At 36.9% G+C, this 14,304-nt stretch overlaps 1 protein-coding gene across 9 annotated transcripts in view, besides 1 other annotated feature; it reads left to right on the top strand.

Annotated features, from left to right (window-relative positions):
- CEPT1 (choline/ethanolamine phosphotransferase 1) overlaps nucleotides 1–14,304 on the top strand; it is a 45,606-nt gene that overhangs the window by 1,379 nt on the left and 29,923 nt on the right. For all 9 annotated transcript variants that reach the window (NR_138485.2, NR_138483.2, NR_138484.2 and 6 more), the window contains exon 2: nucleotides 6,765–7,176. Coding sequence is in view for 6 of the 9 variants with exons in the window: in NM_001410844.1 (NP_001397773.1) it covers nucleotides 6,838–7,176 (339 nt within the window). In the remaining 3 variants the exon portion in view is untranslated. The remainder of the gene's footprint in view (nucleotides 1–6,764; nucleotides 7,177–14,304) is intronic.
- Nucleotides 4,875–4,944: an enhancer, noted in NCBI's record as "active region_1482". NCBI's record gives its function as "activates an Ori minimal core promoter by ATAC-STARR-seq in GM12878 lymphoblastoid cells {active_cell/tissue: GM12878}" and the evidence as "EXISTENCE:reporter gene assay evidence [ECO:0000049][PMID:35858748]".

Consider the following 14,304-nt stretch of genomic DNA (forward strand, 5'->3'; position numbering starts at 1 on the left):
TTCAGCAGCATTCTTGCAAGGAGAAATAACCAAAAGAGTTGCTGGTGTTTGCCAGTATTCCCAGAAACACTGCATGAACGGGATCTTTAGCCATGTTTAACTTGTTTTCTCCAATTCAGTGCTTGGCATTTTGGTGTCATTTTTGCCATTTTGCATCATTAGTATTGAATATATAATTTTGCTTGAAGTCTTTTAATCAGTAAATCCATAGTATGACAGTAGGCAAATTCATAGTTGTCTTTCAACAAATGTTAGTGTCTCGTCTTGTATGTGGACAAAGAATAAAGATTTATTTCCTACTCGAACTATTAGGAATATGTCCAGTCCGTAGATGTTGAGTTGAACGACTTATAACACAAGTTAGACTTTGGTAAGGGCATTTAGAGCATTACTAATTTAGAGCCATTGCCATTCACATAAAATTCGAGATTGAGGTTCTAAAAGCATTTAGTTTCCTCTTCGTTTTATGCTGAGAAAAACTAGTTAAGGCCCCCTGCACAACTTGTCTTTCCAACACATTTAAGAAATAAGTTAGTAAATCTACCTTATATTAACACCAATTACATTTTATTGCACAATTTCTTTGTTTTCTAGGCTTTAGATTTGTTTTTTAAGCTGGTTAAAGGTGCTGATGTTCTTTTTGAGGGTCATGCTGTGTTTATTTTTAAGGGGCTAGAAAAATAACCTATAAAATACCAAGCTTTTGCTGATTTTTATGTTGTGTGTGTGTGTTTTTTTAAGGGGGAAGAAAGTGATTTCCTCTTTTAAGGAGTGCAATATTTCACTTCAGCAAAACGCTAAATCTAAGTTGTGTTACACAGCCCTGTTTTTGCTTCCAAGTCTGCTGAAAAGGCTTTTGTTTTTGTAAACTTGCTCTATGTATCACTTGTTAAATAATGCTGAACTTAATCCTGTGATCCTATTAGTTTTCTTTTTCTTTTTTTTCTTCCTTTCTTTCCTTGTTCTTTATAATTTGCCCTTCCTTTCTGCTAGTGTAGCCATGAGTATTTTTCTTTAGGTAGCCAATTACCTGTGAAAAGACTGTAAACATACTGCTGAATCAGTGCAGATCAAAACTTGGCACCCTTAGACATGGCGGGGATGGAAATTCTGGAATTTCACACAACAGGTTGTGTATTGTGTAAGCTTACCTTATGCACTGCTCAGGAGTTAGAGATTTTTTTTTTTAATGTGATACTTGTCAGACATTCCCCATGCTAAAGTCCACACAGGAATAATGTAGCCCATATGCCATTATCCTCAGCTGATATAAATGCAGCCGTTTTGCATGATAGACTTTTTTAGTAAAGGTATTAATTAAATATCTCTGATTATACTTTTTCTACCTTTGTTGGATTTTCCACATAAATATTTATGCTTGCACAAAGAAAATTCTTTGTCAGACCGTATGTGTTTTCCTAGTTCTCCTCTGGACTTACAAAACAGTTTGTTGATAGCATTCATAACTTAGCTGTTTCTGAGACCCCACCCTCCCCTTTTTGAGTTTCTTAAAGGTATGGAATGTTATATTTCAGCCTTTCTGTTTCATCAGAGTCTGGAACCACTAAGTGTTTATTAAATACTAGACGAATAATATTTGTTAATTGTTCAGTAAGTACTGATTACCTACTAGCAGGGTGTGGTGGCACATGCTCGTAATCCTAGCTTCTCTGTGGCTGAGACACAGGAATCGCTTGAACCCAGGAGGAGGGGTTTGTAGTGAGGCAAGATCTGGTACTGCCTCCAGCCTGTGCTACAGAGCGAGATCCTGTCTCACTAAATTAAATTAAATTAAAATAAGTATTGATTATCTACTTAGTGCTAAGTATGGTATGAGCTTGTGGGAAAAGAATGTTAACAAGACAGGCTTGGCCCATGCACTTGTAGAGTATACACAACAGTCTGGGGGAAAGACCAAAAAAACACAAACAAACAAAAAAAGTTCAAAGTGTGATGAGTGCTTTAAAGGGAGCAGAGCACTAGAGCCAGATTTTAACAGAGGAACGGAGTTACTGATTACAAGTGAAAAGGCTACAATAGCTATAGGACTGTGACAGTATTATAGGACTTTGACAGTATTATTATGAACTGACAGCATTACAGCTGATGGGAATTTTATACAGTTTAAAATATTCACTTTTACTATTATGGTACATGAAAACGTATTCTCAGTTAACAAATAATTTTGGCTGTGTTCTAAAGTTACAGGTTTCTTTATAAGCACATCAGTTGCTTTCCATTACATCCAAGTAAAATGACAACTCTGCGTTAATTCTCCAAACTTCATTTTATCCCATTCTTCCATCTGGTTTACTCCTATCCATCCATGGTGATCTCTCTCGTACCTGAGCAAGACAAACTCTTTACTATCTCAGGGCGTGTTCCATTTTCTTGGATTATTCTTCCTCCTCCCCTAAAACGTCTGGCTCCTTCTTTTCCTCTGAGCTTGGTATAGAAGCTACTTGAAGACTTCACCCTGTTTAAAATGTGTAACCCCAGCTATTTTCTAGCTTAGCACTTTGTTTTCCTCATTGTGCCTATCACAGTGTGTAATTTTTTTATTTGCTTGTTTACTAGTTTTTATTTCTTTTCCCACTGGACATAGGAGCTGGGATCATGTCAGCCTCATTCACTGCATTTATATGTTGGCTGAATGCATTGGAAACTGGTAATCTATTTTCTTATAACTGTTAAGACTGGTGGCTAGGTTTCTAAGCCAGCAATAATTTTAATTTCTTACTTTTTTTTTTCTTTTTGTTACTTGTACTGTGGTAAGAAAAGGACATTTTCTGCTCATCCTTTTGGTCATAGGCCTGATTCCATATAAAAATTTCAGGTGGCTACAATAACTTTTGGGTTTTTTTGTTTGTTCCTTTTTGAGACATGGTTTTGCTCTGTTGCCTGGGCTGGAGTACAGTGGCGTGATCATGGCTCACTGCAGCCTCAACCTCCCGGGCTCAAGCAATCCTCCCAACTCAGCCTCCCAAGTAGCTGGGAATGCATGACAGGCCAGCATGCTAAGCTAATTTTTTTGTATAGATGTGGTTTTGCTATGTTTCCTAGGCTGGTCTTAAACTCCTGAGCTCAGGTGATCCACCTGCCTCAGCCTTCCAAAGTGCTGAGATTACAGGCAATGAGCCACTGTTCCCAACATAGAATAATTTTTTAATATTCTACCTCCTTTCTGTATTCCCACCCCACATCCATTTTTCCTTTCTCGCCACATTGTCCTGATCTTCCTGTTGTAGCCACCTACCCTATGCGGCTCCATTGAGATATGCTTGCTTTTCATTTGCTAAAATTCAGAAGTTCCTGTCTTTTCTGTAATGGTTTTCATGGTCATAGCCCCTGGATCTCAGATATGATGGAAGGAAGAGTAGAGATGAACCTGTGGTAGTGACTGCAAACTCTGTATCTATATGAATGTGTTGAAAGTAAAGTAGCCATCTGTAGGTCAGAGACTACATGTATCTGAATTTATATTTGCAGTGTTGTTGCTAATAGCTTCACAGAGACATTGTTGCTGCAATGTTGGCAAAGAAAGCCTTCAAAAACTCATTGCCTCTTTTCATGTATAAATTTGTACCGTGGGCTAGATCTGGAAAGGTTTGTCAAAATGTAGATGTTTATAAAAGAGAAATAGAAGGTTAAAAAACAATCTAGGTCGCAGAGGGGAAAAACTGAGAGGGAAAGTATCAGTTTATCAACTAGTCCTGCCAAATGCTCAGACTTAAAACCATTAGGATCAGTTGCTTATAGCTATTTAGTGCCAAAAGCAGGCTAGCACTCATCTTTTTTTCTTTACAGTAAGAGAATAGAATACTGCAACAGTAAAATACAAATGGAATTGACTGAATTTTTAATTCCCATTTCAAGTGGAATTCCGTAAGAGCTATCATTTACCAAATACGAAAATATATCATTGCTCGACTATAGAAAATTTGGCTACTATGAAGCTAAGTGTATTCGTGGTTATTGGTCTCTCATTTGATCTAAAGTGATCTCGTCACCAGTTATTTAATATTATATAAACATTACTTTAAAACAGTTTTAATCAGTACCTTTGTGATACAGTTGTGTGAAAGAATTCCTCAAAATGTAAGAAATTAGCTTTGATTTCTCTCCTTGATTTGAAATATTAATTTTTTTTTTTTTTAAGACAGAGTCTCGCTTTGTCACTCAGGCTGGAATGCAGTGGTGCGATCTCGGCTCACTGCAACCTTCGCCTCCTGGGGTCAAGCAATTCTCCTGCCTCAGCCTCCTCAGTAGCTGGGATTACAGATGCCTGCCACCACGCCCATCTAATTTTTATATTTTTAGTAGAGACGGGGTTTCACCGTGTTGGCCAGGCTGGTCTCGAACTCCTGACCTCAGGTGATCCGCCCGCCTCAGCCTCCCAAAGTGGCGTGAGCCACCGCGCCTGGCGAAATATTAAATATTTTTATTTCAGGGCATCTCAGTTGGTTAAATTGTGGCACTGATGAGTCTCTTGAGATTTTTGAAAATTTATTTAAGGGCATTAACTTGACTATAATGACTATTTTCTAAACCAAATATTGAGATACGTGATTGACAGAGGTTTTGGATGCCACCTTAGGTCATTAGTAACATTGAAATTTTGGAATTTGATATTTATAGGGATATAGGAAAAAAGTCCTGTTCCATTGTGTTCACATGTCCATACCAGGCTGTGGGGTGAGTGTCCCCCTGGCTGGTACCTACTTGTCCATGTGGTTACTCATGAGCTGAGTGCCTACATTTCATGTTTTGTGGCATGTGACCCTGTGCTCCACTTCCCAGAATGCACATGTGGCCTGGGTTCATAGTCCTCTAGCCATGGCCGGGTCTCAGTTCAGTGCCTTCCATCCTGGGCAGCAGGAGCACCATGTTGCAGTCTACCACAGCTGCCTCTGGGCCTTGGCCTGGCTTCACTGCATTCCAGCGCTGCCTCCCCTCCACCCCAGACAGGGGGGAACCTGCCACTCTCAGGACCACCCTGCAAAGGCAGAATAAACCAGATCCTCTCACAGCAAAAAAAAGTTAAAAGGGACAACTGAGCATGTTTTGATAGTAGATCTATTGTCGAGATGTCCTAGACCTATACCATTTCTGGGACTTTGATTCTGCTTTGTGGATAGTTTCCAACCAGAAGATCAAAACATACCTATGCCACTAATCTTTTTTGTTCTATTAAGATTCTTTCTTTTTTTTTTTTTTTTAAATGGTCTCTGTTCCTCCTCCTCCTCACTATGGTAAGTTTCTCACAAGGTTCTTTATTCATTTTTTTCTTTCAATGCTTAATCCCTTTGAGAACTTTTCTACTTTCTAGTTTTTAACCAGACTTTAGCTTTTAAGTTGATGACCTGAACTTCTCACTCTTACCAAAACTCCAGTTTTTTGATTTTGTCTAAAACATCTCTACTTAAAAGTCACATGTATATATTCCATTCCTACCCTCATCCCTAGTTCCCTTTCACCCACTACACCCCAAAAGCCAAAAAATAACAAACTGATTTTCTTTTCCAACTTGCCCTTTTGACAACAGTACCAGTAATCTCTAGCTGTTGACTCTTTTTTTCTTCTGTTTCCTCACCTCTCATATCTAATTCTTAAGTACTTTCTGCTGAATCTTCCATCTAAATAGAAATTACTTATAGATTTGACTGTCTTTCATATTTTCATTTTTACCATCCTACTATAGGCCCTCACCACTTCAAACCATTGAGATCACTGTACTTACTAATTTTTAATTGTTCTATTTTCTCCATTCTGATTCATCTTGAAAATACTCTTGTATTTCCTCATGCTACTTGATTACTTATAATTGTTATCTCTAATCTTTTCTAAATGAAATACAAATACTTCAGGGATTAAACTCAAGGTCCTTTATTAGCAGTCATCACTTAACCCACTTTTACTTTTTTTCCTTCTACTTCCTCAGTTCATCAGGACACTCTGCTAATACATATATACTGTCTTAAAGTTAATTTTTTTCATTGTTGTATATCTCCACCGAGAATACCGTCTATATTCGTTTTTACCAATAAGAAGTTTTGTCTTTTGGTTTAATTTAAACAGAAACCCTGTGTTTGTTTGAATACTACTTGGTTTAGTTTAAACAGAAAACCTGTGTTTGTTTGAATGCTACTTACCAGCTGTGTGATTTGGACAAGTTAATTAGCCTCACTGAGCCTTAGTTTATTTTTCTGTAAAAATGGGGATAATTAATAGTCCTTGCCTTCTAGGGTGGTTGTGAGGATTAAAGGAGTTAGTATATAAAATGTGCTTAAGTTTTGTAATATGAAGGGCATGCCCAATAAATGTTAGCTATTACCATTAAATAAAAATCTAGTTTAAGACTCATTGAAGTCATTCCTCTGATACTAATACTAATTTGCTAGCCTTGGGACCTCAGTTTCCGTATATGTGTAATGATGAGATGATTTCTAACATTTGTTGCATTATACAACTGAAAGCAGTGTGGGATGGAAAAAGAATATGAGCTTCAAAGTCAGACAGACTATCAGATAATAGGAAGCATACTACTATTAAAGTCTCTTACTATTTTTTGCTTAAAGTTGAGGTTATACACTTTCAATAAGAACTAGAACCAAAATCAGGTCCCTCCTTTTCTGGTCCTGTTTGATACTTACTACTTTATTGACAATTTGATTTTTTGTTTCCTAATTTGTTAATATTGGCATAAGATGTAAATAGTGGCCAACAAGTGTATTTTTTAATTTTTATTTTATTTTATTTTTTAGGTAAGCACCAGCCACAAAAACCTACAAAAGAAGGGAAATTACTGTCTTTAAATATTAAAAAAAAACAAGATCCATGAGTGGGCATCGATCAACAAGGAAAAGATGTGGAGATTCTCACCCGGAGTCCCCAGTGGGCTTCGGGCATATGAGTACTACAGGATGTGTATTAAATAAATTGTTTCAGTTACCAACACCACCATTGTCAAGACACCAACTAAAGCGGCTAGAAGAACACAGATATCAAAGTGCTGGACGGTCCCTGCTTGAGCCCTTAATGCAAGGGTATTGGGAATGGCTCGTTAGAAGAGTTCCCTCCTGGATTGCCCCAAATCTCATCACCATCATTGGACTGTCAATAAACATCTGTACAACTATTTTATTAGTCTTCTACTGCCCTACAGCTACAGAGCAGGTAAGAGTTTCTTAACAGATCTCAACATTTGCTATATACCAAAAACGTTGTAATTGGGATCGTGGGGTCATTTTAACTAAAGATAAAGTAATCTGACAGCTGTCAACTATTTTAAAATATCACACACACTGTGATAAAGCTTGTAAGTACAGCCTACACACTTGCTTATTGGAAACCAGAAGCAAACGGTAGACTGTGATCCTAGTGCTTAAATTAATGTTAGCAGGGATTAACATGTAAAATGTTCCTTTTAAAGTCACTAAATCTCAATTTTTTACAAAAAAGTTTTTCATTTTTTTAAATGGTAGAATAAAGTCTTAGCAAAAAAAAAAAAAACAGTGAGAAAACTCTCTGGTATTTAGTATGGCATGACTGTAAACTAGCCTTATCAAAAGGTTTTTTTTCCATTCTAGTGAGAAGTGTTAAATTTCCCTTCTCTCTTCCTTTAAACATGTATGCCTGAAGACTTCGGGTATATGGCTTATTCTTCTAACAACTGTGGCAAAGGAAGTGTAAGAAAAAGTCAATACAATGTATTTCCTATTCTGTATCCTGCTCTGGCTACCATTAAGAAAGGATGCATGCTATTGCTTACAAAGACTCACACAGGCCTTCTCAGATCCAAGCCTCTCTTCTACCGTTACCCTCTATTACCCTCTGTACTCATTACTTGAAACCAAAACTAGAACTCTTTATCAGAATAGATACATTGATATTTATTTCTTTGGTTTTAAAATATCCTTACCAAAACATGAACTAAGCTAGTTAGGTAGATGAGAGAATTACAAGCATTTGTTCTGCCTAAATAAGTTAGACTGATCAGTTTCTGGTAATTCAGGACAGTAGAAGGTAATTCTAACTAAACATTTCAGAGTGATTCTGAGCTAAATGAGATGGTAATGGCCACAACATTCCTTACCTTGTTTTAAGCTTGAAGTAATTTTTTTTAAGTAATCTTCTCAGATTATTTGTCCTTTGAGATAAAATTACCACCATTCAACCCTCTATTCTTTTCTGTTTTCATCAATTTGTCTGTTTCCATAGGTTAAATAAAAGCCATTAAAGTGAATGGCTATTGAGGGTCACCTTTACCCCAGAACATGTGATTTCTGTTATTTTCCAGGTTTTCATTTCCCATCACCCTTAATTCCTCTTCTACTATTGCAAATACAGTCCATACAGATTTTATAGATGTAAAATCTGGTTTCTCCTCTTTTTTTTTTTTTTGAGACAGGGTCTGCCTTTGTCACCCAGGCTGGAGTGCAATGGCACTGTCTTGGCTCACTGCAATTTCCACCTCCAGGGTTTAAGCGATTCTCCTGCCTCAGCCTCCCAAGTAACTGGGATTACAGGCCCGCACCATCACGCCCGGCTAATTTTTGTATTTGTAGTAGAGACAGGGCTTCACCTTGTTGGTCAGGCTGCTCTGGAATTCCTGACCTCAGGTGATCCACCAACCTTGGCCTCCCAAAGTGCTGGGATTACAGTGAGCAACTGCGCCCAGCTCCCCTCCTCTTTTTAACTCTCTTCCTGTTGCTCAGTTAGGATACTTAAAAAACACAAACCAGTACATTATTTAAATGTGTCCTTGGATTCTTTATCACATATCCTTTAAATTGTTTCACTTGGGGCTTGTCTGAGAATTTGACTGCTACTCCCAGAAGGGTTTGGTCCAAATCACACAAATCATTAGAGATATAGTAGAACAACAGGGAGGTGGATTGATTCCAGTGGAAGACCTCCAGTACTAAACTAGTTCTAGGATGGGGATCAAGGAGTGAGAGCAGGTTCAAGGATAGTTCAGCCACTAATAGTCATTTATGGAACACCACAGAGTATATCAGGTAATGTGTTCCCCTGTAATACTTTTTCTTGGCCTCTGTTCTTAAGTGATTTGGAATGTATGAATAACCCAAGAATTAGTTAAATCTTTAGGGAGACTTCCAGAATGGAAGCTATTCTTTTCACTAGTTGTGATGGTTCAGAATGGCTGCTAGGAGGAATCAGAATATGACTGAGCTGCTGCTTGTTGTTCTGCAAGGGAAGATAATGTCCTACAATGGAGATGCCTGGATGCATTTTTAGCTACGAGGTAGCTATCCTTATTAGGCTCAAAGCAGAATGCATTTAAATAGGTCTTGGTTGTTTTCTATGACAAGCTGTTATCTCTGTGATCTTCAGTAAGATAAGTAAATTTTCTAAGTCACCCTCTTTAAATCTTATTTTGTGGTATGATGATCATACATTCAGGGTACCTAGCATATAATGTTCAAAATAGTAGATGGTTATTGTTTCATTGATCAAAAAGATTAGGTATATAATCTATTCTTCCACAGCCCCCTTCCCATTCGTGATTTCCTCTAATGATACATAATATTTCCAGTTACAAATTCATCTAAGTCCTTATTTCTTTTATATTTTTCTTTATCATCATGTTGGAGTCAGAGAATTTCGTAAATTTTATCACCCAGGGAAATTCTCCTTCATTGTATCTCTGATTCTTTTGGGCCTTATGCCAGTGGATGATCATTAAGTTTCATGTCTACATGTATAGTATTACGAACTTCCCATATATTTTTTATGTTACTGATTTTTTAAAAAATGTATTAGAGTTTCAGACACCAATCTTTCTGGTAGAAAGGAAGGTCATTATTATAATAGTTTAAGCTCAGTTTGTTTCTTTTCTTAGAAAAAGCAATCCTCCTAGTAGATAAGAAAATAAGTTAGCTTTTATTTTTCACATTCTTAGGGTAGAAATACAGACTTCTCTCTTTTTATATGGAGAGCCAAAATTTCCCTTTGATCTGTTCATTACTCAGTATTTAAACTTCATTAGCTAGTAGCTTTGATTTTAGTGTCATAAGTTAATTTGGAATTTGTCTTGCAACTTGGTATATGTTAATATACTTGTGTTCACCTTGCCTCCATCCACAAAAAGAGTTGGACTCTGTAAAATATTTGAAGAGATTTATTCTGAGCCAAATATCAGTGACTATGGCCTGTGACACAGCCCTCAGGAGGTCCTGAGAACACGTGCCCAAGGTAGTCAGAGCACTGCTTGTTTTTTTTTGTTTGTTTTTTTTTTTTTTTGAGACGGAGTCTCGCTCTGTTGCCAGGCTGGAGTGCAGTGGCGCAGTCTCGGTTCACTGCAACCTCCACCTCCCTGGTTCAAGCGATTTCTCCTGCCTCAGCCTCCCGAATACAGGACTACAGGCGCACGCCGCCACACCCAGCTAATATTTGTATTTTTAGCAGAGACAGGGTTTCAACATGTTGGCCAGAATGATCTCAATCTCTTGTTCTTGTAATCCACCCACCTTGGCCTCCCAGAGTGCTGGGATTACAGGCGTGTGCCACCACACCCGGCCAGCTTGGTATTATACATTTTAGAGAGGCATGAGACATCAATCAAGTACATTTAAGAAATACATTGGTTTGGTCCAGAAAGGCGGGACAACTCAGAGTGGAAGGGCTTCCAGGCTGTAGTTGAATTTAAACATTTTCTGGATAAGTTTGTCTAAAGATCTGGGATTGATAGAAAGGGAATGTTCAGGTTAAGATAAAGATTGTGGAGACCAAAGTTCTTTTGAAGTCTTATAGTGGCTGTCCTTAGAGACAATAGATGACAAACGTTTCCCTTTCAGATCTTAGTTAATCTCTTTAGGATTGGGACAGTCTGGAAGAAAAAGATCTAGCTATGTTAATAGAGGTTCTTTACAGATGCACATTTTCCCCCACAAAGAACAGCTTTGCAGGGCCAATTCAAAATATGACCAAGAAACATGTTTTGGGGTAAAATATTTTGATTTTCTTCCTTGTCTTGTATTGTTATGCCAGAGTCAGGTTGGAAAGTAAACCAAGATATATAGGGTTAAATAAAACCCATCTGATGAGAATTTATGATTTGTAGGGCATGACTCCCCAGACCCCTTAGATACGAATTTGGGCAAGGTAAAAATCAACAGTTTAGTCCTCATCACGTAAGACAGAAAAAGGAAGTTGGTGTTAACCTGTATTATACCCATGAAAACCAGAAATGCCATTATCAGAAAGAGTCGTGTCAGATTTCAATATAACTTTTTGAAATATCATGAGTTGTTTAAACACTCATTTGTTTTTGTTTTTATATTGCTAGTTTTCATGCTTTTGATTCACCTCACTAAAAAATAACTTGTTAGATTTTTTTTTGGCATAGAAAAGTGAAAAGAAAATTAAAACGGCACATTGACCATAATTTCACTGCCCAGTTAACTTATGTTGACATTGAAAAGTGAAGGGGGAAAAAAATTACAGAGTTAAAAAAATGCAAAGAGTGGCATAAAACAAAAAGTAAAATCTTCCCTTTTTTATCTGCCTTTCCTTCCTACCCCTCACCCTAACCTCTCTCCTCAAATGTAATAAAGTTTAACAGTATTTTTGTCTGACAAATCACACCCTAAATTTTATTGAGTAGAAAAAGCAACATGTGGAACACACAGTACACCATTTAGAAATTGTTTAAAGTATGCAAAATAAGTCTTTATTGTTTAGGATTGCATATATATGTAATCAAGTCTAAAGGCAAACATAGGAATAATAAAGACTAAATTCAGGTTAGTGGGTACTTTTGGGGGAGATTGCATGATGAATTGGAGAGAGCTGTTCATGGAACTCCAATTATGCTTTTTAAGCTGAGAGGTTTGTCAAGGGTGTTCATCAGATTTTTAAAAACTTTTTGTATGTTTGAAATAGTAATAAAACTCATATTGTACCTGCCCATATATATGCCCGCCAAAATCTTAGGAGTATTTTTTTCCTTCTGATTGACACATAATAATTATATATGAGATACAGTGTTATATTTTAAAACATATATACAGTGTATAATGATCAGATCAGGGTAATTATGTCTGTCACCTCAAACATTTATTTCTTTGTGTTAATATTCCAGATCCTCTCTTCTAGCTTTTTGAAAATATACAATGCATTATTGTTAGCTATATTCAGCCTACATTGCTGTAGAGCACTAGAACTTACTCCTCCTACATAGCTGTAACTTTGCTTCTGTTAAACAACCTGTCCCTATCCTCCCCTCCTCCTTACCCATCCCAGCCTCTTGTAACCACAATTCTTCCCTTTACTTCTATGAGCATTTTTTTTTTAGCTCCTGCATATGAGTAAGAACTTGCAGTATTTATCTTTCTGTGCTTGATTTATTTCACTTAACATGATGTCTTCCAGGCTCAGCACACTGCAACCTCCGCCTCCCAGGTTCAAGTGATGCTCCTGCCTCAACCTCCCAAGTAGCTGGCATTACAGGCATACACCGCCATACCTGGGTAATTTTGTATTTTTAGTTGAGATGGGGTTGGTCAGCCTGACCTCAGATAATCCACCTGCCTCAGCCTCCCAGAGTGCTTGGATTACAGATGTGAGCCACCACGCCCTGCTGTCTCTACTTTAGTTTTTCTTGCCTGTGCTTTTGAGATCTTAGCCATAAAATCTTTGCGTAGACCAATGTACTGAAGCATTTCCCCTGTGTTTTTTCTAGTAGTTTTATACTACTAGGTCTCACATTTGTAAGTCTTTAATCCATTTGAGTTGATTCTTGAATATAGTGAGAGATAGGGGTCTAGTTTCATTTTTCTGCATGTGGATATTCAATTTTCCTAGCACCATTTATTTATCCTTTCCCCACTCTATGTTCCTGGCATCTTTGTCAAAAATCAGTTGGCTGTAAATACATAGATTTATTTCTGGGTTCTCATTTCTTTGGGTCTGTATGTCTTTTTATACCAATATCATGCTGTTTTGGTTACTATAGCTTTTTAGTGTATTTTGAAGTCAGGTAGTGTGATGCCTCCAGCTTTGTTCTTTTTGCTCTAGAGTGCTTTGGTTATTCTGAGGTTTTTGTGATTCCATACACATTTTAGGATTTTTTTTCTATTTCTGTGAAGAATGTCATTGGTATTTTGATAGGGATTGCATTGAATCTGTAGATTGCTTTGGGTAGTATGGCCATTTTGACAATATTAATTCATGGACATGGGATGACTTTTCATTTTGTGTATATGTCCTCCTCAGTTTCTTTTATTAGTGCTTTGTAGTTTTCATTGTGGAGATCTTTCAACTCCTTGGTTAAATTTATTCCCAAGTATTTTATTTTATTTTATTTTATTTTATTTTATTTTATTTTATTTTATTTTATTTTATTTTATTTAGCTGTTGTTAATGGGGTTGCCTTCTTGATTTTTTTCCAGCTAGTTTGTTATTGGTGTATGGAAATGCTACTGATTTTTGTATGTTGATTTTGTATCTTGCATCTTTACTGAATTTAACAGTTCTATGAGTTTTTTGATGCAGTCTTTAAGTTTTCCCATATATAAGTTCATATAATCTGCAAAGAGGGACAGTTTTGACTTCCTCTTTTCTAATGTGAATGCCCTTTGTTTCTTTCTCTTGTTTAATTACTCTAGCTGGGACTTCCAGTACTATGTTGAGTGTGGAAAGTGGGCATCCTTGTCTGGTTCTAGTTCTTAGAGGAAAAGCTTTGACCATTTCCCCATTCAGTATGATGTTAGCTGTTGGTATGTCATATATGGTCCTTGTTGTGTTGAGGTATGTTTCTTGTATGCATAATTTGTGGTGACGTTTTATCTTGAAGAGATGTTGAATTTTATCAAATGCTTTTTCTGAGCCTATTGAGATGATCATAGGATCTTAGTTCTTCGTTCTGTTGATGTGATGTGTCACATTTATTGATTTGCATATGTTGGACCATCCTTGCATCCCTGAGTTAAATCCTCCTTCATCATGTTGAATAATCTTTTTAATGCGCCGTTGGATTTGGTTTGCTAGTAGTTTCTTGAGGATTTTTGTATCTGTGTTCATCAGTAATACTGGCTTGTGGTTTTCTTCTTTTATTGCATCCTTATCTGGTTTTGATGTCAGGGTAATGCTGGTTTCGTAGAATGAATTAGGAAGAATTTTCTCTCCAGTATTTTGGAATAGTTTCAGAAGAATTGGTGTAGTTCTTTAAAAGTTTGGTAGAATTCAGCAGTAAAGGCATTTGGTCCTGGGTTTTTCTTTGTTGGAAAACTTTTTAATATTTATTCAATCTTGTTATTTGTTATTAGTCTGTTAAGGTTT

The sequence above is a fragment of the Homo sapiens genome, chromosome 1, assembly GCF_000001405.40.
Source record: "Homo sapiens chromosome 1, GRCh38.p14 Primary Assembly".
NCBI lineage: Eukaryota > Metazoa > Chordata > Mammalia > Primates > Hominidae > Homo > Homo sapiens.